General features: G+C 53.6%; 1 pseudogene, besides 3 other annotated features; it reads left to right on the plus strand.

Annotated features, from left to right (window-relative positions):
• Positions 4,176 to 4,949: an enhancer, noted in NCBI's record as "H3K4me1 hESC enhancer chr14:104898367-104899140 (GRCh37/hg19 assembly coordinates)". NCBI's record gives its function as "activates a minimal SCP1, AML or CMV promoter by ChIP-STARR-seq in primed H9 embryonic stem cells {active_cell/tissue: H9 hESC(primed)}" and the evidence as "EXISTENCE:reporter gene assay evidence [ECO:0000049][PMID:30033119]".
• Positions 7,134 to 7,999: an enhancer, noted in NCBI's record as "H3K4me1 hESC enhancer chr14:104901325-104902190 (GRCh37/hg19 assembly coordinates)". NCBI's record gives its function as "activates a minimal SCP1, AML or CMV promoter by ChIP-STARR-seq in naive H9 embryonic stem cells {active_cell/tissue: H9 hESC(naive)}" and the evidence as "EXISTENCE:reporter gene assay evidence [ECO:0000049][PMID:30033119]".
• Positions 13,175 to 13,957: an enhancer, noted in NCBI's record as "H3K4me1 hESC enhancer chr14:104907366-104908148 (GRCh37/hg19 assembly coordinates)". NCBI's record gives its function as "activates a minimal SCP1, AML or CMV promoter by ChIP-STARR-seq in primed H9 embryonic stem cells {active_cell/tissue: H9 hESC(primed)}" and the evidence as "EXISTENCE:reporter gene assay evidence [ECO:0000049][PMID:30033119]".
• CEND1P1 (cell cycle exit and neuronal differentiation 1 pseudogene 1) lies at positions 22,979 to 23,980 on the plus strand (annotated as a pseudogene).

Raw genomic sequence — 26,021 nt, forward strand, 5'->3', positions numbered from 1 at the left:
GGTCTCTGGCCGGGCACAGTGGCTCACGCTTGTAATCCCAGCACTTTGGGAGGCTGAGGCAGGCGGATGATGAGGTCAGGAGATCGAGACCATCCTGGCTAACATGGTGAAACCCCGTCTCTACTAAAAATACAAAAAGAAATTAGCCGGGCGTGGTGGCGGGCGCCTGTAGTCCCAGCTACTCGGGAGGCTGAGGCAGGAGAATGGCGTGAACCCGAGAGGCGGAGCTTGCAGTGAGTCGAGACTGTGCCACTGCAGTCCAGCCTGGGCGACAGAGCAAGACTCCATCTCAACAAAAAAAAAAGAGAAAGAAAGATAGGGTCTCTGACTGCCATGGGAGGACCCCAGCTCCCACATTCTCCAGCTATGTGACTTCCTCCAGTCTCAGTTTTCTCATCTGTAAAGTGAGGTGCCTGATTGATGCCAGGTCATATGTGGGGAATTAGAGAAGCCAGCCTGTGAGAGGCGCCCCTGAGGCCTGGCGGCTTCGTTCCTGCAGCCCCTTCTCACCTCCCTGAGTCTCTGCACCCCCACCCTGGCCTGGGGGCTCCTTGAGGGCGGGGGCAGGGGTGGGCCAATGGGAGAACAAGTAAGGGCTGAGCTCACCTCCCAGCTGGGACTCCCAGAACCTTCCCTTAAGAGCAGTGACCCTGCACCACCCACCCCATTAGCTGTGTCCTAAGTGATCCTTTAGAAACCCCGCAGGAGGCGGCTGGACAGAGCACCTGGGTATCAAATGTCCTGCAGCCATCACACAGGTCACACATGGGGTCTCACCACCCAACCAGCCAGGCCCCGAGACCCGCCCCTGCAGCTGCCCCTCCCACCCACTTGCCGACCTCTCCTCTCTATAAAATGGGAAGGGCTCCAGGGTCAGCGGGTGGATGTCAGGGTGAGACAAGTATTGTGACGCAGACTCCGTGTTCAGCACGGCCGTCGGGTGTGCCTAGGGGTTCCCAAGCACTGCCTTGCACAGCAAGCCCATGTTGCTTATGGAAATTTCAAACCCCCACGAAAGCAATAAGGACGCACAATGCACCTGCACACTCAGCACCAGCCGAACAACGACCCTCTGCAGACCTTCCTGTCATCTGCACCCACACCCCCAAAGCATTTGTTAACATGCTGCTGTCTGGAACAGTTTTGGATTTTTGCAGACAGCACAGAGTTGCCACGTCCCCACAGGTGGTTTCCCTGTTGCCACCAACCTGCATCAGTGTAAGCGTCTGACAACTAAGGAGCAATATTGACATGATTCATGACAACATCACTTTATTCAGATTTCCTGGTTTTCCCTGATGTCTTTTCCTCTCCCAAGACCCCATCCAGGATCCCAGGTGACATCTGTTTTGTTTTTGTGTTTTTGTTTTTCCCCCGTTCCTACGGTGTTGACCACATGGCGTTTGGTCGTTGTGCCTCCTTGGACACCTCCTGGCTGGGACAGTTTCCCACTTTCCTTGTTTTGATGACCTTGACAGTGGTGAGGTGCCCTGGGCGGGCACTTTGAAGGATGCCCCCGCGGGGATGCGGCTGGTGTTCTTCTCACAAGCAGCCTGGGGTTGTGGCCGTGGGGAGGAAGGGCCATCTGCTCACACCCTCTCCAGGGTGCACGCCGTCAACACCACCCCGCTGCTGGCGCTGACTCCACCCTCCTCATGTTTCAGGAAACTTGACTGACAGTAAATCTTCATGGAAAGCACATTGGGGTGATGGCGCCCGGACAGCCAAGACATCACCGCCCTGAGACTCCTCCCGAGCCCCTGGAGCTGCTACAGCCCCCGTGGGTGCTCCCTGGCCGCATCCTTGCCCCGCTCCAGCCTCTGTAACTTAGCACGCGTGCTCGTCCAGCGGCCTTTGCTCTGTGTGTGACTGTCCGTGTTGCTGCTCAGGTTGCCCTGCGTTTAGGCAGCACCCTATCCGTTCATCCGTCCCACTGCGGGCGCAGCACCCTAGCCAGTCATTCGTCCCACTGCGGGCGCAGCACCATATCCATTCATCCGTCCCACTGAGGAGGCAGCACCCTATCCATTCATCCGTCCCGCTGCGGGAGCAGCACCCTAGCCAGTCATTCGTCCCACTGCGGGCGCAGCACCCTATCCATTCATCTGTCCCACTGCGGGCGCAGCACCATATCCATTCATCCGTCCCACTGGGGAGGCAGCACCCTATCCATTCATCTGTCCCACTGCGGAGGCAGCACCCTATCCGTTCATCCGTCCCACTGCGGGCGCAGCACCATATCCATTCATCCATCCCACTGCGGGCGCAGCACCATATCCATTCATCTGTCCCACTGCGGAGGCAGCACCCTATCCGTTCATCCGTCCCACTGCGGGCGCAGCACCCTATCCATTCATCTGTCCCACTGCGGGCACAGCACCATATCCATTCATCCGTCCCACTGGGGAGGCAGCACCCTATCCATTCATCTGTCCCACTGCGGAGGCAGCACCCTATCCGTTCATCCGTCCCACTGCGGGCGCAGCACCATATCCATTCATCCATCCCACTGCGGGCGCAGCACCATATCCATTCATCTGTCCCACTGCGGAGGCAACACCATATCCGTTCATCCATCCCGCTGCGAGAGCAGCACCCTAGCCAGTCATTCGTCCCACTGCGGGCGCAGCACCCTATCCATTCATCTGTCCCACTGCGGGCGCAGCGCCATATCCATTCATCCCTCCCACTGCGGAGGCAGCACCCTATCCATTCATCTGTCCCACTGCGGAGGCAGCACCCTATCCATTCATCCGTCCCGCTGCGGGAGCAGCACCCTAGCCAGTCATTCGTCCCACTGCGGGCGCAGCACCCTATCCATTCATCCATCCCACTGCGGGCGCAGCACCATATCCATTCATCCATCCCACTGCGGGCGCAGCACCATATCCATTCATCTGTCCCACTGCGGAGGCAGCACCCTATGCATTCATCCGTCCCGCTGCGGGAGCAGCACCCTAGCCAGTCATTCGTCCCACTGCGGGCGCAGCACCATATCCATTCATCCGTCCCACTGCGGAGGCAGCACCATATCCATTCATCCATCCCACTGCGGGCGTAGCATCATATCCATTCATCCGTCTCACTGCGGAGGCAGCACTCTATCCATTCATCCATCCCACTGCGGAGGCAGCACCCTATCCATTCATCCGTCCCACTGCAGGCGCAGCACCATATCCATTCATCCGTCCCACTGAGGAGGCAGCACCCTTTCCATTCATCCGTCCCACTGCGGGCGCAGCACCATATCCATTCATCCGTCCCACTGCGGGCGCAGCACCATATCCATTCATCCGTCCCACTGCGGGCGCAGCACCATATCCATTCATCCGTCCCACTGCGGGCGCAGCACCCTATCCATTCATCCGTCCCACTGCGGGCGCAGCACCATATCCATTCATCCGTCCCACTGCGGGCGCAGCACCATATCTGTTCATTCATCTCACTGCGGAGGCAGCACCATATCCATTCACTAATTCCACTGCGGTGGCAGCACCCTATCCATTCATCGTCCCACTGCGGGCTCATCTGGGTCTTCGTGGAGCCACGGTCCTGCTTCAGTAGATCCAATTTTCCAAAGCTGCTCTGTGGATTTTCAGCCCCTCCCACCGTGTGTGGGGGCCACTGCCTTCTCTGTCCTAAAGCGGCCCTGCCATCGCCGCTCTGGAGAGCAGGATCCAGAAGCTCAGTGGGCTGAGCGCATCCGTAGGTGCCCCACCTCCACCCCAGGATGGGCCCAGTACCCACCTCAGGCTGCGTCTGCTGCAAGTGGACCAGCCAGCTCCAGGTGGAGAGAAGTCCCAAGGACCCCACAGCAGAGGTGCCTAGGGTGAGGGACATGGGGGGTGCCCCGTGCCAGCTTCTGCCTGGGCCAAGGGAAGGGGCAGTGGCAGAGCTCTGACAGCCTCAGGAGTTTGAGATGGGTCCTCCTGCAGCTCCAGAAGCAGGAGGGCTTGGGCAGGGGTGGGGCTGCCTGCCGGGCTGAAGCTCCTGAGGTGGCGGTGGAAGAGCACACTTCACCCTCACAAGTGTCTTGCAGAAATTTCCAGAGACAGTGTCCTGGAACGGTCACCCAGCTCTGCCTGCCCCATGGTGGTGGGATCTGCCTGCCCAACCTTGGCTCATAGCGACATTGGAGGGGCCGGGACAGCCAGACCTCACCTCCTCGAGGAGCTTCCTCCTCCAAGGAGGGGCTCAGGTGAGCATCCGGTCCCCAGAAGGGCCCTGGCCTTCCAGTTTGCACACTAAACTCTCCCTGCTGTCTGTGGGAGGAGCCGGCTCCTGTGGGAGGAGCACAGGCTCCTCTCCCTGCTGTCTGTGGGAGGAGCCGGCACAGCTCTGGAGCTGCCCCCACAGGGCACAGCCTTGACCTGGGCTCAGGGAGGGCCAGGGGTCCCTTCTGGCCACCCCATGTCTCCAGAGGGCCTTGTAGCCCATCCTGGGGTAGGGGCTCAGTCTGGGCATGGTCCTTGCACGCTCCAGTGATGTGGAGGGTGGTCCCTGGGGCAGGCCCCAGCTTGAGGTTGGGCCAGAGTGGGGTGAGGCCTGAGGAAGGGTCTGGGCCACACCAAGCCCGAAAGGAGCGAAGAGAAATGGGTCCCCATGCCACCGAGAGCAACCACTTGCCTGGCCCTCTGCATCTGGCCAGGCTGGCTGGGCCTCCCCATACCTACGGTCCCCATTTTACCTGCACTCTGTGGCAGGGCTGGTGGAGACCAGGGCCTGCCTGGGACCCACAGCAGCCAGCCCACCAGGGCTCTGGCCAGGGTCACCACCCTGGGTTCCACCAGGGTCTGGGACCAGGGACCAGAGAGACCCAGAGCTGGGGACACAACCAAGGAGCCTCGGAGTCTATGAAGCACCAAGGGTCAGCCCTGGGGACATCCTTGGAGATGCCCAACCGGCTCCTGGCCCAGCAGTGGGGAGGCCGATCCTGAAGGGGCCGGAGCCCGTGGAACACACGGACGCAAACAACGCTGCACAGACCCCTTTCCCAGCCTAGGATGTGGCCGCCGGGAGGGTATCTCTGAGGCTGGTGCTCAAGCACCACCCACACCTCCTCATCCCCCTCACCTCACCTCCCCTAATCTGCAAGCTGCGGCCCGAGGCGCACCTGGCTGTCCCAGCCCTCCCAGCAGCACCTGGCGGCTCCCTGAGCTTGTCCACAGCAGCAGTCGTCTTCAGGGTGGCTCTGCACTGGCAGGCCCCGGGTGCCCTTCCCACGGGGGTGGCAGGGAGCCGGCTACTCCAGACGGGCCCCGCACTGTGGACAGGCGCTGATGCTTCGGTTTCCGTGGTTGCCCCGGCCCCGTTGTTTGAGGGCCCCGAGCCTGGCCCACCTGCCCACACCCGTGAGGAGGCCTTCAGGAAGGTGGGGCACAGCAGCGGTGCCCAGTTTGGAGCAAAGCCTGGACTTGGAGCTTGCAGAAGGAGCTCTTAGCCCACACAGAAGGAATCACAACTGGGACCAGAAGCACCTCCTCCATCTTGTGGAGTTGCTGAGGACAGATGGTCAGAAACTGAGTTTGCTGTGGTGGCAAAGTGTCCCTGCCACCCCGGCCCCTCTAGAGAGGGCAGCGCCCGCCCCCTCCAATCACGGCATCCACAGGGCTCCTGGAGCCCCTCCAGCCAGTCGGGCCAGCCATGGGGGCACCCTGTGCCTGCTCCGCTCCGAGGTGACCTCCACCCACAGCTGCTCTGAGGAGCACGGCCGGGGTTCCCCGAGACTTCCCTGGTCCACTTTAGAGCCACGGGGCTAACGGGTTTTGTTTTCAGTGGTATCTCTTCCTCGGTGATGTCCTGTGGGCCAGGTCTCAGCCCAACCCCTCCTTCACAAGCTGGTAGCCACCCTGGAGCCCGCCAGTCCCCAGCTCCCGGATGCTCACGGTGGGCTAGGCACGGTCACCACACCCTGGGCTGCCTGTCACAGAAGTGGCCCCAGCCTTTGAGGATCACGGAGAGACCAGGGTGACAGTCTCTGTCAAGAGCACCTGTGGCACCTGAGGTGGCCCCTGCTACCTCCCTGGAGGGTGAGCTTCAGGCAAGGCCTGAGGGTGTCTAGAGGGACCCTGTGCAGGGCCACCCCGCCTGAGCTCAGGCCCCGTCCTTCCTGCCCTCCAGAGGGGGAACCAGCCACAGAGCCTCGGCCTAGGGCTCACGTGGGCCCGCGCCTGCAGTGAGTGGCTGCCCTCTGCAGACAGAGCGGGCTCAGGCGCCCCGGAGCTGGAGGGGTCTTCTCTGTAAAAGTGACCTCAGGAGGTCCGGGTCCTGCATTCTTTCTGTCCCCAGCCCAGAACCTGATTTCTGAAACAAAGTTTCCTGGGCCTCGGGGAGTGAGGTTGGGGCTACTGGGAGTTCACAGGGCTCATCCCTTCCCCTGGAGTCTACCAGCCTGAGCTTTCCTGCCCCACACTGTCCCCGAGGGGCCTGGGATGCTGACAGAAGTCTCACGGCTGCTAATGTAAGGTCAGGGCTTTAGTGCCCTGTGCCCCTGCTTGTCGCCACCCGCCACCGGCCTCCCCACACCTTTGGAGCAGGTGGGGACCAGCATGGATGGCCCTCTGGACTGGTGTGGGGGGCCCCTGCTTTGGAGGGGCTGCTGGCCAGTGGCAGGGGTTGGATTGGAGCCAGGCGGATCTCACCAACCCCCATCCTTCAACACAACAGAAAGGGGCGGGTGGGAGGTTGGAGCCCCGGCCGTGTTAGCTGCTGTGGTGCCTCCAGCCAACCCTATTCCATCCCCAGGACCACCTGCTCAGGGGTGCCCTGATCCCAGCAACCAAGGACTCCAGAAGGTAGGTATAAGTTCCATGGGCTTTGCAGGGAGGGGCTGAGCAGTCCCACACAGGCACTCATTTGGAACCAAACAGAGGGCTGGGGACTGAACAGAGGCATTCTGACCCCACAGCAATGGGGAGCCATGGCGGGTCCTTGAGCAGAAGGGTAGGCTCTGGAATGTGTTTGAAGTTGATGCTGACAGCAGGTGTGGGGTGGACTGAGGGAAGATGGAGACCAGGGGTTGCCAGGGCAATGCCCAGGAGCAACGTAAGGAGGCCCCCAGGGTGCAAGGGAGGGCCAGGGGCAGGGCAGGAGGTGGGAGTCTTGGCCAGGAACATGCTGTAGGGCTAGGAACTACCCGGAAAAGGGTGAGTCTCAGGGGCTTGGACCCCCTCCCGGAGCAGAGGACTCCAGGGTCCCCAGCTGTGTGCCCTTCACTGTGAGGCAGTGTGAGTGCTGGCCCACTCACGACATGCCCAGACCTGCAGAATGGGAAAGGCCTTCCTGGTAACGGGGCCTCCAAGAGCAGGCAGGTGGCCTGTGAGCGGCATTTCCAAACATCAGACTTCGCAGGGCTGACTTGATGGCTACCAGCAAGCAAGTCCCACCATGGTTCCTGTGGGGCAGTCGGGGTGCTCAGGGAGGTGGGCTCCAGGCAGGGGACCTGGCCCAGCCTCACTGTGACCCCCGGAGGCCCAGCAAGGGGTGACTAGTGGGCACAGTGCCTTGGAGTGGGAGGAGGAGAAACCCTAAAATGAGGCCCACGCCCCACAGCCGAGTGGCTCCCTGGAGCCAGCCCTGGCCCCGTCGTGCCCCAAGAAGGCCTGGCTGGCCAGGGCCTAGGGCTCCTGTGGGGTTGCCAGCACCACAGGGTCAGTACAGGCTGTCATCAGGCAGTCCAGCCACCCTGAGGGCAGGTGCTGGGGAAGGACCCTGTCCCACTCCCTCCATCACCTGTGCTGGGGCCACTGGCAGTCATAGGAGAGCAGAGCAGGCCCAAGGTAGGCGCCAGACATGGCGCCCTTGCAGCCAGCGTGTCCACGCCCATCCTCAAGCCGAGCCTGGTCACCAGCAGTGAGAAGGGAGGGTAGGCCCACGGCCCTGGCTCCCCTAAAGTCCTGTTTCCACGGAACGATGGCCCAGCATCTACTCCTCCCCAGGACCCCCGCTAACTGGGAAGGGTCAGCCCCTGCCCTTTGCACTCTACCCCCAAGACATGCGGCCTCCTTGACCTCTCTATGCTCAAGCAAGTCTTGCCAGAACTAGGAAAATCTGCCCCAAGCTATGATCCCAGCTGGTGCAGATGGTCCCAGGCTGTGGTGGGCCCTGTTCTATTCCTCCCAACAACCCTGCAGTCCATCCCACAAATCGGGACAATGCGCTGGGACAGCTGACATTCCAGAGGTGTCCAGGGACGCACAGTGAATCCGTGTCCACTGGGGAGCGCCCACTAGGAGGGAGGAAGCCCAGGAGAGTGGGCGCTCGCAGGAAGCCCTCTGGCCTGGCCCGGTAGTCCTGGCGGGCTTCCAGGGGGAGGTGGAGCTGAGCCTCCTGCAGATGGGCGGAGCTGAGGGAGGCAGGCCTGGGGCAGTCGGGGTGAAGGCTCCAGGACTGCCAGGGCAGGAAACCACACAGGATGTTATGGAGAAGCAGGACGGCAGCAAGGGTGTACAGCTGGGCCTGGTCACTCTGCCAAGCCCCTAGCCCGGCGGCTGCCTCCCCGCAGTGGCCTGTTTTCTCCGCGGCCATGCCAGGAGACGTGCCGGGGGCTGACCGTAAGCTTCCCCCAGGAACTGCTGACACAAGCTCCTCCCACTGCATGCCTGTGTCTGGCTGGCCAAGCTCTGTCCCAGGACTTCCCTCCCACCAGGGCCCTGTTCCCATTCCCACCACAGGACCAAGGGGCCCTACTTAGCCTCCAGCCTCCCGGGCACCCCCTGGTCCTTACTGCAGCTGCGCTGGTGTCATTCTCCGTCCTGTGGGGTGAGCTCCAGCATGGCCGTGCGTGCTCTGCTGGGCAGTGCCAGGCCCGTCTCCACTGGCCTCAGACACGGCAAGGCTGGACCCCTACCCAGGGTCAGAGCTTAGGTGTGGGAAGGAGGGCGATGGAGCAGATAATGAGTCAATCAGACCTGGAGACGCTGGGGGCTGGTGAAGCACCAGGCAAGGAGTTTGGGGCTGCCCCTGGTACAGGAGCCGTATGGTCCTCACCCCACACCCCAGGGAGTCACCCAGCCAGGGCCAGGGGAGAGGCAGGTGACTGCCGTGTGCGGACTCTGCACTGGCTACTACACTGCCTGTGGGGCTGGAATGGGGGCTCCCAGAAAGGGGCTGGACTCCAGCCCCTGGAGGACAGGGTGTTAGGCAGCCAGCAGTGGGTGAACCCAAGGGCCAGGCCAGCACAGCACGGGGGCAGGGTGAGGGTCCCAGGTTGTGGCTCAGCCTGACGGGCCTTGCTGTGTAAGCTGCTCTCAGAGAGGGAGGTGGCTGGTCTCTTTCTTCCCTTGTGGAGATGCAGCCAGACAGGGGCCAGAGGCCCAATGAATTAATTATGGAGGGAAGGCAGCCCTGCTCTGAGCAGCGGGGCTCTGGATGAGGCGGTGGCTCCAGCTGCTGCAGGGCCCTGAAAGCACACTGCCCACCTCTGCCGGCCCCACCCAGCTGCAGGAGGCCCAGCCCCACCTGCCCTGGAAGCCTTCCAGGACTGTCAGGCAGGGGGATCTCCTGTAAGCGCCCACTCTCCTGGGCCTCTCCCCTCTGACAGGGCACTCCTGGGGCAGGTATCGCAGAGGGGGAGTTCCTGGGCCCTGGCCAGCTGCTCAGTGGGCAGCTGTGGGCCCTTCACTGGCTTCAGGTTCCTCTGAGCTGGTGCCCTCCCGCCTGCCTGTGGGTGGTGACACTGGGCTGGGACACATGAGTCCTCCCCACACTGGCCCCAGGGCACAATCAATACCCAGTGAGCCTTTCATTACCTGGCTGTTAATTATTCAGCGCTCACTGGGAAGGCCACATGCCACATCCGTGCCCTCACCCCGCCCCACCCCATGGGAACACAACAGAAAGTGCCTGGGAGTGGGCAGGGAGGAGACGCTAAGCACACAGTGAGGAGACCACCCCTGGAAGCCCCCAGACCACAGCAGAGAGAAAGAGAGAGACAGAAAGAAGTCTTCCCTGGTGGGTGAGAGCCCAGGCTGTTCTTCCAAGGGCAGGAGGGAGGGAGGCAGGGAAGGAGGAAGGAAGGGGGGCCTGACCACCCAGGCCAGCCCCGGGGGCCAGCTCCACTGGCATCACAGCACTTAATTTGCACACAGCGCAGGAGGTGAGGCCTGCCTGTCTGCTCCCTCCAGGCCCAAGGTCACAGTGAAGGGACGCAGGGGATCCAGGGCAGTTGGATGCCCCGCAGGTGGGGGATGAAGACTTGGCCAAGCCCCCTCAAGCGCCAAGCTCTTTTACTAGGCAGTGTCTAAAAGCCCCTTGTGAGTGTCCCACCAGCCACATCCATTCTGTATCCTCTAAGAAAGCAAAGCAAAGGAAAGAAAGAGGGGAGGGGAGGGCAGGGGCAGGTCCTGAGGGCTGCAGGCCCCCGGGTCCCAGGTGAGTTTGTGGGTCAGCTCTCAGAGGTGTGAACACAGCCTTGGTGGGGCACCCAGATGCAGACTCTGGCCTCAGACCAGCCCCCACCTTGTTTGCGTCCCCCAAGTCAAGTAGCCGTCCCCCTGGCATGGGCCATCCCATGGCAAAGGGGTTGCAGGGAGGAGGTGTCCCTGTGGCCTGTGTCGGGGGTACACGCCAGCACAGAGGCTGAGCAGCCCAAGCCACCAGCTCCAGATGCTACAGGTGGAGTTTGGATGTCGAAGCCCGAATCCCCAGTACACAGAACGTGATCTTATTTAGAAATAGGGTCACTGCAGATGTGATTAGAAAAATGAGGCCACCCTGCAGCAGGGCAGGCCCCTCATCGGACATGACAGTTGTCCTTATAAAAAGAAGGAATTTGGATACAAACACGTGCACAGGGCAAACACCGAGGGGGTGAGAGCAAGGGTCGGGGTGATGTTTCCACAAGCCGTGGACCCCAGAGACGGCCAGCAACCTCCAGAAACGAGGCAAGAGCTGTGGAACAAGTTCTCCCTCACAGCCCCGGAAGGACCCAGCCCTGTCAATGCCTGGATCCTGGACTTTCTGCCTTCAAAACATTGCGGGAAAAAATCTCTGTTGTTTAAGCCACCCACGATCTGGTACAGGCAAATCTCAGAGATATTGTGGGTTCCATTCCAGACCACTGCAATAAAGTGAGTTTTACAATACGGTGAGTCACATGAATTTTTTGGTTTCCCGGTACATATAAAAGTGACATTTTCACTGTACTGTAGTCTATTCAGTGTGCAATAGCATCGTCTAAAAAACAATGTACTTACCTTAATTAAAATACACTTCATTGCCAAACAATGCTAACGACCATCTGTGCCTTCAGTGAATCATCTTTTGCTGGTGAGGGTCTTGCCTCCATGTTGATGGCTGCTGTCTGATGGAGGTGGTGGGTGCTGAAGGCTGGGGTGGCTGTGGCAATTTCTTAGGACAACAGTGAAGCTGGCCTCATCAATAGACTTTTCCTTTCCTGAAAGATTTTGCTGTAGCGTGCGATTCTGTTGACAGCATTTTATCCACAGTAGTTCTTCTTTCAGCAGTGGAGTCAATTTTCCCAATCCTTGCCACTGCTCCATCAACTAAGTTTTGATGGAATATTCTAAATCCTTTGTTGTCATTTCAACAGTGTTCACTTTCTTTTCTCATCCGTAAAAAGCAACTCTTCATCCATTCGAGTTTCTTCATGAGACTGCAGCAATTCAGTCACATCCTCAGGCTCCACTTCTAATTCTAGTTCTCTTGCTATTTCCACCACATGTGCAGTTCCTGCTTCCCTGAAGTCTTGAACCCTCAAAGTCATCCATGCGAGTTGGAATCCATTTCTTCTAAATTCCTGTCAATGTTGATATCTCAACCTCCTCCCATTCTTCACGGCTTCTAGAATGGAGAATCCTTTCTGAAGATTTTCCATTGACTTTGCCTAGATCCATCAGAGAAATCACTGTCTATGGCAGTTACAGCCTTACAACATGTATTTCTTAAATAGTAAGACTTGAAAGTTGAAATGACTCCCTGATGCGTGGGCGGCCTGATGGATGTCGTGTGAGCAGCCATGAAAACAACGTTCGTCTCCTGCGAGTCTCCAGCAGAGCTCTTGGGTGACCAGGTCATGTCAATGAGCAGTCATATTTTGAAAGGAACCTTTTTTTTTTCTGAGCAGTAGGTATCAACGGTGAGCTTAAAATATTCAGCCAATCGTGCTGTAAACAGATGTGCTGTCATCCAGGCTTTGTTGTTCCATTTTCAGAACACAGACAGTCGACTTTGCGTAATTCTTAAGGGCCCTAGGATTTCAGGAATGGTAAATCAGCACTGGCTTCAACTTAAAGTCACCAGCTGCCTTCACTCCTAACAAGAGAGGCAGCCTGTCCTTTGAAGCTTTGAGGCCAGGCATCGACTTCTCCTCTCTAGCTATGAAAGTCCTAGATGGCATCTTCTTCCAATGGAAGGCTGTGTCTTCCACGTTGAAAATCTGTTGTTTAGTGTAGCCACCTTCGTCGATGATCCAAGCTGGATCTTCTGGATAACTCGCTGCAGCTTCTCCGTCAGCACTTGCCGCTTCACCCTGCACTTTCATGTTCTGGGGACACACATTAAGCCTCACGAACCGACCTCTGCCAGCTTCCAGCTTTTCTTCTGCAGCTTCCTCATCCCTGTCAGCCTTCACAGAACTGAGAATCAGGGCCTCGCTGGGGGTGAGGCTTTGGCTTAAGGGGAGTGTGATGGCTGCTTGGATCTATCCAGACCACTCGAGCTGTCTCCACATCAGCATTTTTAAAATTTTTAAAATTTCCTTATAGAACTTTTCCTTGGCATTCACAACTTGGCCAACCGGCACCAGATGCCCAGCTCCCAGCTTTCGGCCTGCATGGGGTCTCCACCTGCCTTCCTCACAGAGGTGAATCACTTCTAGCTTTTGATTTAAAGTGAGAGATGTGGCATGGTTCATGGTTTCCCCAGTTACACTAGTAACATCGAAGATCACTGACCACAGATCACCATAACATACAGTAATGATGCAAAAGCGTGCGATGTTGTGAGAATTACCAAAGTGTGACACAGAGATGTGACATGAGCAACGTGCTGTTAGAACAACAGCTCTGATTGACTTGTTCAACACAGGGCTGCCACAAACCCTCAATTTGTTAAAAAAAAAGTACAGTATCTGCAACGTGCAATAAAGTGAAGAGGAATAAAACAAGGTGTGCCTACACCTGGGTACGGCAGCCTAGGACACTAATGCCACAGACGTGGGAACTGAATGGTGGGGTTTCGAGTAGTGTTTTCTGGGATTTGTACCACCAACCCATCCCTTTCTGATTATACAAGGCTTCAGTGACAGATGGGGAAACTGAGGCATTGAGATTGGAAGAGATTCACCCACAACACCCACAAATCCATGGTGGGGCTGAGCCAGAGTCCCTAGCTCCCCTACCCCTGCCCATTCCCTATTCCGGGCCCTGTCCTTCCTTCCAGCTGCAACACAAAGGTGGTGTCCACCTTATTGATGGAGGGGCTGAGTCCCAGAGTCACCTGGTGCCTGCACAGAGGGAGACGGAGCTGGACCCCTGCCGGGGGTGGAGGCCCTGGACAACGGGCACAAGTGAGGCTCCAGACAGCATGGGAGACAGCCCAGTGGATGGTGGGTCAGGGAGGCTTCCTGGGGGAGGGTGCTCCAAGGGGCTGGAGGATGGACATGGTTTAGCAAACCTCGCTGGGGCAGAGACAGGAAGGACACGGGTGAGTTGGGAGCTGAGCAGGCAGGCACTGGGCATGGGGCAGCAGCTGGAGACGGAGGGCTCAGGGCTCACTGGCACCAGGATGCCTCAGCTGGAGAGGAACAGCCAGCAGGATGGTAGGCCAGGAGGACAGCAGGACAGCAGTGGCCACACCACGTGGCCCACCGTCTGCTGGATGCCTGGGTGGTACACAGGCTTCCACTCCGCGGTGAATGCCCAAGGCCCTTTTATTCATGTTCGTAATTACAGAATGCAGGGCGCATTATCCACAATTTGCTTCACATGAAAAAGCAGGACCATTTGCTGAAGCCCTTCCCCGTGAAGCTCAGCACGCTGCTATCAATGAACCCGGAATCCTCTCCCGGCTGGCAAATGGAATCTTTTCTGCTCCTGACAAAGAGGAATGTCCTCAAGGTGAATCTTTTCATTCCTGCTCCTTTCAGCCAGCAATTTTGGTGGCTGACAGATTCTTCTGTGAGAAATGGCGATTTGATAAAATGCAAAGTGGATGCTATCGAGCTCACGGGCTTTTCAGAGGAGTTGGGAGCCATGGCCCTGGGCTCCTTTCCGCCCTCCATCCGCCTCCTCTTGCTCCTCCAAGCCCAGCCTGTGCATCCTGGAAAGCCAGGAGCAGGACTCCAGCCCCAGCCGCCACAGCAGGCAGCAGCTGACCACTTCGAAGCTACCCGCCCCGACCCCACGAGGCCACACAGCCTCCCTCACCGGCTGGGCCTGGCTGAGACCCCGGACTTGGAGCAGGAGCAGACCTCAGCCAGTGCCCAGGAACTGCTAGGTGAGGCCTGCACTGGGCAGCAACACCCCCTCACGAGGCACAGGAGCAGGACCTGGGCCTGGGCAGGGCTGGGGGGCAGACACCTCTGTCCACAGCACATACGGCTTCTCCCGGCCACCCCGGGGTCCGTCGGAGAACCTGGGATCACGCAGGGCCCAGAACACGGCCAGCCAAGCCTCCTCCGAGCCCTCCTGGGAGTGCCCCCACCCTTACACCGGGCACGAGGCGACCAGAGTTTCAGGCCAGGGCTATGGAATGCTGTGGAGTCAGGCGAGTCTTGGGAGCAGGGATGAACACAAGCCTTCCAACCATGTGGCTTTGGGCAAGTGATCTCTCAGAACTTCTGTTTTCTCCTCCATAAAACTTGCATGGGTTTATCTGCCGCTCCCAGCCAACCACATGGCCAGCTCTGTGCTCCAGAAGCATCTGAAAACAGCAGTGGGATGAGGGAATGAAAGAGCAAATGAGTGAATGACGGGGAGCAGCCATGGTGAGGGATGAGAGCCTGGCCTGCCCTTCCCCCACTGACCCCAGGACAGGATGGAACTAGCCGTGGAAGGTGGATTTGGGAAGACCCAGCTGTAGGGGCCTGGCAAGGGCTCTTCCGGCAGTATCCGCACGGGTGAGGGAGTGTGGATGGTTGTCATTCAGGAATTACTCAGACTGCAGGGTGAGGGATCACAGGCAGCTCTGGGACCCTTCCACAGAGGTGGTGCCTAATCACTGGGCTGAGGCTGTGATTTGCCTGCCTGCAGGGGAGCCCTGCCTGCTCCGACTTAAGACTCTGCCTCAGCACTAACTTTTAACGAGGGGGTGCCCCAGAGGGCCCCACCCACCCCAGAGTCAGAGGCCCGGCCGCAGCTCTGTCTCAGCACATTACAGGGAACCCAGGAGTTCTGATCCTGATTCCAGGCCAGCCGCCCCAGCACTGTCCCCCACGAGAGTCCTCAGGGGACAGCTCAGCCCAGCCACTCCGGCCCTCCCCACTCTGGACCCTGAGGGTCACCTCCCTGCAAATGAGGCTTTCCCAGGCAGCAGGCCCCTTGCTTTCCGGGGCCCAGTGGCAGCTGCAGAGCAGGGCAGGCTCAGGCTGGTCTGGAAGCCCCTGCCCCTCACCTGCTGGAAGGCTGCTCTCCTCCAGAGCAGATCTGGTCCTTCCAGAAGCCTCCTCCTCCCCACCCAGCAGGGCTCTGCAGGCCTCCCCCTGCCTCAGGCTTCCCTCACTCCGCGCCACACTCCACTGTGCCACCCCCTTCAAGCCTGGCCCTGCTCGAGGCTGCAGCCGAATGCACCTCCTGGAGGGGCGCTGCTGATGCCCCTATTCCCCTCTTGTTCCTCGAGCCCTCTGCTTCCCTCTGCAGCAGCGTCTGCTGCTGGATGTGTGGTGTGTGGTGCATGGTGTACGTGCTGTGTGTACTTCCCATCCAGCTCGGGCACCGCTGTGGGGATCCAGGCCAAGGATGACCTGTCCAGTCTCCCACATGTGGCTCCAGCAAGTCCGTGTTTGAGGAAGAAAGGCCTGAGAATTCCAGTCTCCAAAGCAGGGAACCCTGGGCTCGGGGCTGGGGCTCAAGATCACTCACTTCTGGGGCATGAGGCTGATCCCAGAGCTTCATGGAGCTAAGCAGCCTCCACAGTGGGTCAAAGTGGCAGTGGGGGCAGGGAGAGGAGCCAGGGACGTGTCTCATCCCCCCCAAGGGCCTAGAGAAGAGCCCAGGGGCCTGGAGTAGATGAAGCCTTACCAGGTTTGCCCAGGCCCTGGGGGAGGAGGGGCTGTGGCTGACCAGCCAGGACACCTGCCTGATGTCTGGGCCTCTGGTGGCTGATGAGTACATCAGTGCATTTCACACTGAACTCCTAGCAAGGTGCGTCCACACAGGGAGAGTCCTCAGGCAGCTGGAACCATGCACCTGTGGGAGTTGAGAAAGCATTCACCCACTCACTTACTCACCCACTCACTCATTCACCCACTCACTCACCCACTCACTCACCCACTCGCCCACTCACTCATTCACCCACTCACTCATTTACCCACCCACTCACCCATTCACTTATTCACCCATTCACCTATTCACCCATTCACACATTCACTCCTTCACTCATTCACCCATTCACCCATTCACTGATTCACTCCTTCACTCATTTACCTGTTCACCCATTCACTCATTCACCCACTCACTCACTCACTATCTCACCCATTCACCATCTCACCCATTCACCCATTCACCCTTTCTCCTGCTCACCCATTCACCCATTCACCACTTACCCATTCAACAGTTCACCGGTTCACCCATTCACCCACTCATTCATTCAGCCACTCACCCATTCACCCACTCCCCCATGCACCCATTTATCCCCTCACCCATTCACTCCATCAATTCTTTGCACATTCACCCACTCGCTTACTTACCCACTCACGCATTCCGACATTCCCACAGCAGGCATGTACTGAGTGCTCATGGCATGGTGTGGGCACCTGGGCTGTTCAAGTGCACAAGGAGGAAGCTTCCCATTTCCAAGGCAGCTGGGTGCGGGAGAAAGGGGGAAGAATGAACCCAGGATCAGAGAGATGGGGCATCCTTCAAGACAGTGGGATGGGCATTGGCCCAGAGGAATCAACCCCAAAGGTGTATCAAGGCCCTGCAGACCGGAGCTCCTGTCTGTTCCCTGTGCAGAGGAAAGCCGGGCAACCACCTGCCTCCCTCCACGTCAGAGGGAAATGTCTTCATTAAATATTGATTGGTTTGCACAAGCCTTGGGTTGTCTGGAGGGAAGGATAGAGAGACTTTTGCATGTAAATTACATTTTTTTTCAGCCCTTCTTTAATCCTTTCCTGCCTAGGCACCTTGACACCTGTTTTGATTCCCCACAACACCAGCAGGAGGTCCCTGTGGGCTCAGGGCAGCCCCCGGGACTTGGGACTGGAAGCATCCAGCATCTCTTCTCTGCCATGGCCTTGAAGGTCTTCCAGGTCCGCTCTGCCTCTCTCCACACTGGGCACTGCCTGCTCCCTCTTCTGCTGGATTGGAGATGCAAGGATGCCAGCACCCCCATCCCCTGGCCCAGGCCAGGGCAGTTGATCTCTGCAGACACAGACTCTAACCACTCCTCAGCCAGGCCTTGGCACCAAGTCTTCTAGGAAAGAGCTCACCTCTGGGACCACCAAGAGCTTCCATCTTGACTTTTAAATGTTATAATCCTGCCTTGCTGAGCAAGCTAAGACCCACAGAGGCACCTTCCAATTGGGTTCCAGCACTTGGGATCTGTGTCCTGGGGGACGGTGGGCTGGGGGGAGGGGAGAACAGCTGGCACCACGAGCCTAGGTTTCCACATTTGTAAATGGCAGGATTATTGTAGCTTCCCTTAAAATTGTGACCAGGATGAAATAAAGCCATGTGTGGCTAGCACAGTGCTGGGCAGATGACTGGTCAAGAAGCAGCATTTTCCCGACTGTGTGTGGAGAGAGGGAAGGATAATAAATGAGTGAGTGAGTGACAGATGAGTGGGTGAGGAGTGGATGAGCACGTGAATAAATGAACGAATGAACGAACGGCCCAGTGGTCCTGCATGGCCTTGGCTTTCCTGCAGAGGCTAATGAGACTCCTTCATTCAGGAGCCCTGGCCTCCAGGAGCAGCTCTGGCTCTCTTTGGCTGTCCCTGGGATGCTGGCTCCGGGTCGCTGCAGGTCCAGCCTCCTGTCCGGCTCCTGAGCTCCCTCCGTGCTCCTGGTTCTGCAAGTCACTCTGCTCCCTCTTGAAGGTCTGAACCTATCACAGGCCTGTATGTCCCTGGATGCCCTGCTGTGCTTGGGGCCCCTTCCCTTCCTACCCCTCTGGCCTTTTTGACACCCTCACTGATACCAGGGGGGCTCCCAAAGCTGCTTCCAGGGATGATGCCTCCTTCTCACTCAGTGACGTGGACCCTCAGTAACCCGGGAAGTAGGCAGTACCTGCCCCGCCACCACTGTGCAGTGCATGGGGGCTCAGGGCAGTCACAGCTGGGAGGCTTGCTAGCACCTCCCAGCCATCTGTCCATTGTCCATCCACTCCTGCCTCCACTGCCTAAACTCAGCCTGGACTCCCCCTGTGATTGGATTTGACTGACTTCTGGAGTCCTTTGCAGGACTTTGGTTTGTTTGTTTGTTTGATCTGCAGTATCTAGCTGAGATTGCCTTGGAATGCTACAGGTTCTGGTCTATTCAACAGGCACAGTGAGATTGGAGTAAAACGAGTTCACACCCACTCTGTCAAGATGTTAATTCTGCAGCTCCCACGGGCAGGTAGTGAGGGAGGCCCGGGCCCTCTTGTTCCTGCAAGGGACTAACAATAGCCAGACACGCTGACCATCATCCCTCACCTCTGTTCTGTGTCTGTTCTGAGAGCCTTGGCCTGTTCTCACTTCCTTCCACCTTGTTTCCACCACACCTGCCCCTGTCTACAGCAGAGGCCCTTGCAATCCTGCCAGGGCTCCCAAAGCAAGGCCAGGACATGGATCTGAGTAGAATGCTGTATGTGCACACATGTACGTACACATGCGCAGACTCACGTGCCTACATGCACACGCATGCATGTGCTCACACCAACTCTGGCTGACTGGGTCACCAGATGGTCCTCTCCGGGTCAGTCCAGTTCCCTTCCTTTTGTGGTAAAACTTTGGAGGAAATCTTAAATAAGGTTTTGGGGAGCAAGAGCTTTGCAACTTCTTATGTGTGAGCTCGGCTGAGCCCTCCCACCCTGGGCTTCATTTTTCCCAGATGAAAAACGGAGGACTTGGACCCAATGACCTCTTCTATATCTTCCAAGTCAAACTTGCCAGGAGCCTGGGACTGCTGGGTTATCTTGGGCTTCAGCATCAGGTTCTGTGGGTAACAGGTGAGTGATAAGTGTCACTTCTAAAAGCAGTTCAGATGACACAGTGGGAGGAATAGAACTGTGCAGGATGACCTCTGGGAGCAGGACTTAGAAGGCTGTAAGTGACAAAAGAGGCCATTCCCTCTGTGCTCCCTCAAACCTACCACCCGCCCACCTATCCATCCATTCTTTCATTCACTCATTCAGGTGCCAGGCACCAGGCATGAAGGAGGTGAGGAACACACAGACTTGCCTTCGGGAGCCAACCCCAGAATATGGCAGCTCCGCTTTTGGCTATTAAGCTTTCTGTTAATAGTCCTAAGAAACTCTAAATAAACAACACAAGCCTCCATTTCCCAATTTCTTAGCTTTAGACAGAAAAAAATATCACTCCTCACTATGGAAGTTGAAAAAGATGAATACCCCCAGCATCCACTGACCGCTCAGCTCCTGAGGCCCATGAGCGGTCCTTCTGCTCTACACGGACAAGGTTTACGGTGTCCAGTTCTGTTTCGTAGTTACAATGAAGTCTTTCATGCTTTGTCTCTTTGCTGAGTTTTAAAATGGAAAACAAATAAATAGCATTCCACTAAAATGCAAATATTATACAGGGCAGACTTCTGCTTCTGCTTCTGGCCATGCTAGAGTAGCAGAGACTGGATTTACCCTCCCATTTGAAACAACTAAGACACCAAGTAAAATGTATAAAATAATGATGTTGATATGTTGAAAATCAGGCAGTGCAGGAGAGTGACTCCTGAGAGAGGAAGTGAAAGAGATGATGCCTGTGATGGTCAGCTTATTGCCTGGAGAGTATTTAGGGCTCAGCCCAGAGCCAGTGGTTACCTGAGTTGAGGAAGCAGAGTTGAGTGTTCAGAGCGTAAGGCATCTAGAATCCTGGAGCAGAGGATCTGGGTGGAGAAAATGCATAGAAAGGAGAGAGCTGCACAGAGAAAGAGCTCCAGATTCTGCACCAATTTCCCTGACAGCCTTCCTGGTCAGTACATGTATATGTAGAAGGCATCAAGACCAGGGAAAGATCCACCAGAAAGGAACAGGGAGGAAAATCTCTGCAGTTGACACAGGGCTAGGAGTAGCTCACGTTTCCACCAGCCAGAATGGCAAAATCTCATAGTACACAAAACACGGTTAGAGTACTTGGCAGGGCATGTCTCAGATGGGGCATAATTAGCTCTCCTCTAAAGGCTGCTGTGGTCCCAACTATCAAAACTGACGTACAAGCCTCAAAAAAGAATAGTCAAAATAGTAAAACTAACAGTGCCCCATAACAAAGTCCAAGCATGTTTACAGGAGTAAAAAAAATACCCAGCAACCAACAACATAAAAATCACAATGTCTGGCATCCTGTCAAGGTCACCAGACATGCATACAAAGAAACAGGAAAATACCAGTCAAATGAGAAGAAAAAATCCATCCATAGAAACAGACTGAGAAACAACACGTGATCAAATTAGTAGAGAAAGAAATTAAAACAACTATTTTAAGTATGTTCCATGTGTTAAAGAAGATAGAGGAAGGCATGAGCAGGTTAAGGAGAAACATGGAGGATGTAAAAAAAGATTGATACAAAACTTCAGCTGATGAGAATGGCAATTCTTGTGATGGGAAAAGCACTGAGTGGGATTAACAGGATATTTGACACTGGCAGAAAAGATCTGTGAACTTAAAAACATAGCAATAGAAACTTTCCACAATAAAACACAGACAGAAAAAGTGACCTGCAGGAGAACCACAAATGGATTAATGTATGTATAATTGGAGTCCTGAAGGAGAAGTAGGGGATGTAAAATATTTGGAAAAGTAATGGCTGAAATTTTTTCAAGATGCTAAATAAACCCCAGGTAGAGGTAAACCATGAAGAAACGCCAACAAGGCACACCACAATCAAGTTATTCAAAACCAGTAATCAAGGGAAAACCTTAAAAGCAAAGAAAAAAAGACATATACACAGAACAACTGTAAGAATGATACCAATTTCTTATCAGAAACAATGAAATCCAGAAGATAGTGGAGAAACACCTTTAAAATACAAAGGGGAAAAGCAAATTGTCACTCTAGAATTCTATACCCAGAAAAAAAAAACTTAAAAACCACAGCAAGATGAAGACTTTTTGAGACATAAGAGAGGTAAGAGAATTCATTGCTGTCAGACCTGACTTATAAGAAATGTTAAATAAAGTCCTTTATGCAGAAGAAAAATAATAGCAAATGGAAATCTAGATTTGTTCAAATGAATGAAGAGCACTAGGAGCGGTAAACTTGTGGGTTTAATCATGAATGCACATAAAATATAGTCAAGTTCTTTAACACATAAATAATTGACTAAAGGAAATGTGATAACAACATTGTGGGGCTTATCACATGTATAGAAAGAAAATGTATAATTCAAGAACACAGACCCTGGGACAAGGGAACTAGATTATTACTGTTATAGGAATTTTATGCTACACATGAAGTGGTGTAATATTACTTATAGGTAGAACATAAGCTAAAGATGTATCCTATAAAACCTAAAGCACCCACACACAAAAATGATGTATAGCCAATGAGCCCACAAAGAAGATAAAACTAAATCATAATAAATACTCAGTTAATCCAAAAGAAGTTGGAAAAAGAGGAAAGAAAAAAAAGCAGATGAGGGAAAAAAAGCAAGTAGAAAACAACAAAGTGGAAGATTTAAACCCATCACATCGATAATCACATTAAAACTAAATACTATACTTGAAAGGCAAAGATTGTCTTATTGGGACAAAAAGGCAAAAGCAACTATATGCTAACTACCAGAAACCCACTTTAACTGTAAAACTATAAACAGATTAAGTGTAAAAGGCTAGGAAAAAATGCACCATGCTAATACTGATCAAAAGAAAGCTGGAATGACTATATTAATCACAATATAAGTAAATTTCCTGGCAAATAATATCAGTGATAGGTAATTTCATAACAGAGGGTCAATGTATCAAGAGGGCATAATAATCCTAAATTGTATCCACATAATAACATATATTCAAAATACATGGAGCAAAAACTGATCACCCTGCAAGTAGAAATAAATAAATTGAGAATTAGAGGTGTCAACTCCCTATTCTCAGTAATTATTAGAAAAATGTAGATAGAAAATGGGCAAAAAAAAAGGAGGCTTGAACAACACCATCAATCACCTTGACCTAACAGACATTTATAGAGTCCTCCACCCAATAACAGCAGAATACACAATCTTTTCAAGGACACACAGAACATTTACCAAGATTGACCATATTCTAGGCCATAAAACAAGTCTCAACAAATGGACTAGATTCATATCAAATTCTCAGCCAAAATGGAATTAAATTAGAAATCAACAACAGAAAGATATCTAGAAATTCAAAATATTTGGCAACTGAACAGCACACACCTCTAAATAACCCATGACTTGATGTGTTAGTCCTTTCTCACGCTGCTATGAAGAAATACCCGTGACTGGGTAATTTATAAAGAGAAGAGGTTTAATTGACTCACAGTTTTGTACGGTTGGGGAGGCCTCAGGAAACTTACAGTCACGGTGGAAGACACCTCTTCACAGGGCGGCAGGAGAGAGAATGAGTGTCAGCAGGAGAAATGCCAGATCCTTGTAAAACCATCAGATTGCGGAAACTTCCGAGCTCTACTCTGCGTCTGCAGCCGCCGCCGTCCTGCAGAGGAGCACGCAACCCAGGCGAGGCCGGAGGACGTGTCCATAGAATGCCCAGGGGTGACGAGCTGTCCTGAGCCCCTCTGCTGCAGCCACCTGCCTGTCCCATACACCCTGCCCACCACGGAGTCCAGAGGGAAATCGGCCAGCAGCCCCAAGCCCGACACCAAGGTGACCCAGGCCACCACCGAGGCCAAGGTACCCCCGGCAGCCGATGGGAAATCCCCCTTGACCGAGCCCTGGAAGAAGGAAGCCCCGGCAGAGAAGCAGCAGCCACTGGCAGCCCCCACCATGGCGCCTGCCAAGAAGACCCCGGCCAAGGCAAACCCCGTCCTTCTCAACAACCACGGCAACCTGAAGCCAGCCCCCACAGCCCCCATGGTGCCCAGCAGTCCTGATGCAACCCCGGAGCCCAAGGGTCCTGGGGACGGGGCAGAGGAGGACGAGGCTGCCAGCGGGGGCCTAGGGGTCGAGGTCCCTGTTCCTGCGAGAACTTGAACCCCCTGCTGGTGGCTGGAGATGTGGCTGTGGCAGCCATAGCCCTGATTCTCGGTGGGGCCTTCCTGGCCCAGAAAAAATAATACCTTCGGGCCAGGCGGGGGTCACAGAGCCACTTCCTGTGCAGATCTCAGGAAGCCAGCGCATGCAGAATTCACCCTTATCTACGTGTACACACGCACATTCATTACACATCTACATATGCCCCCAACACACGCACACAGTGGAGAAGATGCTCGAGCCCACCCTTGCTGATCCAGGACTTCCCCAACCTCCAGGGCAGAAGGAACCTAGGCTCCGGGGCCCACAGCGCCGGACTGGGGGAGAGGGTCTAGCTGGGGGACTGCAAGAAAGGAATGGACCCTGTGTGTGGCCCTCCAACGGCTGGGTGATCCTGGGCCCCCAGGGCTGGTCTCTGAGTGTAGGTGGGGGTGCTGGGATGGGTTCTGCCTGGGCCCAGCCCTCTTGGGGAGATTAAAGGGCGGACATTAATTGTTGAAAAAATAAAACACACCAAAAAAACGTCAGATTGCATGAGACTCACTTATTATCAAAAGAACACCATGGGGGGAACCACCCCCATAATTAAATTACCTCCACCTGGTCCCACCCTTGACACCTGGAGACTATGGAAACTGCAATTCAAGGCGAGATTTGGGTGGGGACACAGAGCCAAACCATATCTCTCAAATAAGAAATCAAAAGAGAAATTGGAAAGTTATTTGAGCTGAAAATGAAAACACAACATACCAAAATCAGGGAGATGCAGCTAATGTATGCTTGGAGGCAAATTTAAGCACTAAGAACCTATGTTATAACAAAAAAGAAAGGTCTCAAATCAGTGACTTACATTTTCACTTAAGAAACTGAAAAGAGAAGAGCAGATTAGACACAATGTAAGCTGAAAAAGAAAATAATAAAAAGAACGGAAATCAATGAAAGAGAAAAGTAAAAATTATAAGAAAAATCCAAGAAAGTAAAAGCTAATCATTTTAAACAATCAATTAAATTGTTAAACTTCTAGTCAGTTGATAAAGAAAAAGGTAAAAAGGCACAAATTACCAATATCAGGAATGAAAGGGTGGGTGTCACCAAATATTCTGCAGTCATTATAAGGAAACAATGGACTATTGTGAGCCACTTTTTTCTAATAAATTTGATAACTTAGATGAAATAAGCTAATTCCTTAGAAGCCATAAATTATCAAAGTTCACTCAAGAAGAAATAGATAACATGAATATCTATTAACTAAATCAAGTTTTTAATTAAAATCCCAATGACAAAGCAAACTATAGGCCCAGGTGGTTTTCATGGTGAAGTCTAACAATATTTGAGGAAAAAATAACAATTCTACACAAATCCTTCCAGACAATAGAAAATGAAGAGGTACTTTTTTTATTCGATGAAGAGAATGTTACTTTCCTACTAAATCAAACAGATATAAGAAACGACAACAGAGACCAATATCCCTCATGAACAATGATGAAAATATTCTTACCAAAATTTTAGCAAATCTAGTTTATCTAAATCATGACAAAGTGTAGTTTACCTCAGGAAGACAAAGTTGATTTAACATTCAAAAATCAATAAATGAACTTTATCTTATTAGCGGACTAAAAAGAAAAATGCGCATGATCATCTCAATAGAAAAAGCACTTAATAAAACCCAACATTGAGTCATGATTAAAAACCCTCAGAAAACCACGGATAAAAATGAAAAGTCCTCATAGAATAAAGGCCGTCTACACAAACAGCAACAACAACAACAAAAATCTATATCTTCCTAAAATTGAGAACAAGGTAAAGATATCTACTCTCACCACTTTTATTAAACATTGTACTGGAGGTTCTATCTCATGAAATAAGGCAAGGAAAATAAATAAATCATCTAGATTGGAAAGAGTAACACTTTCCTTATCATCTGTGTAGATCAGCCCATGGAATCCATGAAATAAAAGCCACTAGAACTAGTAAGTGAGTTAGCAAAGTGGCAGAGTTCTAGATTAATATACATAAACTAATGGTATTTTTACATATAACAATCAGAAATTGAAATTTTAAAAATGTTATCATTTCCAATACCATTAACAAATATAAAATTGTTAGCCATAAACCAATAAAACATGTGTAAGACTTGTACATTTTAAACTACAAAACATTGCTGAGAGAAATTAAAGAAGACCTAACTAAATGGAACATGTACCATGTTCATGGATAGGAAGACTTGAAGTTGTTAAGCTATCAATTCTCCCAAGTTGAGTTATAGATCAATGGAATCTCAATCAAAATTCCAGAAGGATTTTTAAAATGAAAATCAATTATTGAACTTCACATTTTATATGGAAAATAAATGAAGGACCTAGAAAATAACTTTGCAAAAGAAGAACAAAGTTGGAGGACTTATTTATCTGATTTGAAGGCTAAATATAAAGCTATATTAAAACAATATAGACAAATAGATCAATGAAACACATAGAGTTTCCAGAAATAGGCTCACATATATATGGCCAATGGATTTTTGACAA

This window comes from Homo sapiens, chromosome 14 (genome assembly GCF_000001405.40).
Source record: "Homo sapiens chromosome 14, GRCh38.p14 Primary Assembly".
In the NCBI taxonomy this organism is placed as follows: domain Eukaryota; kingdom Metazoa; phylum Chordata; class Mammalia; order Primates; family Hominidae; genus Homo; species Homo sapiens.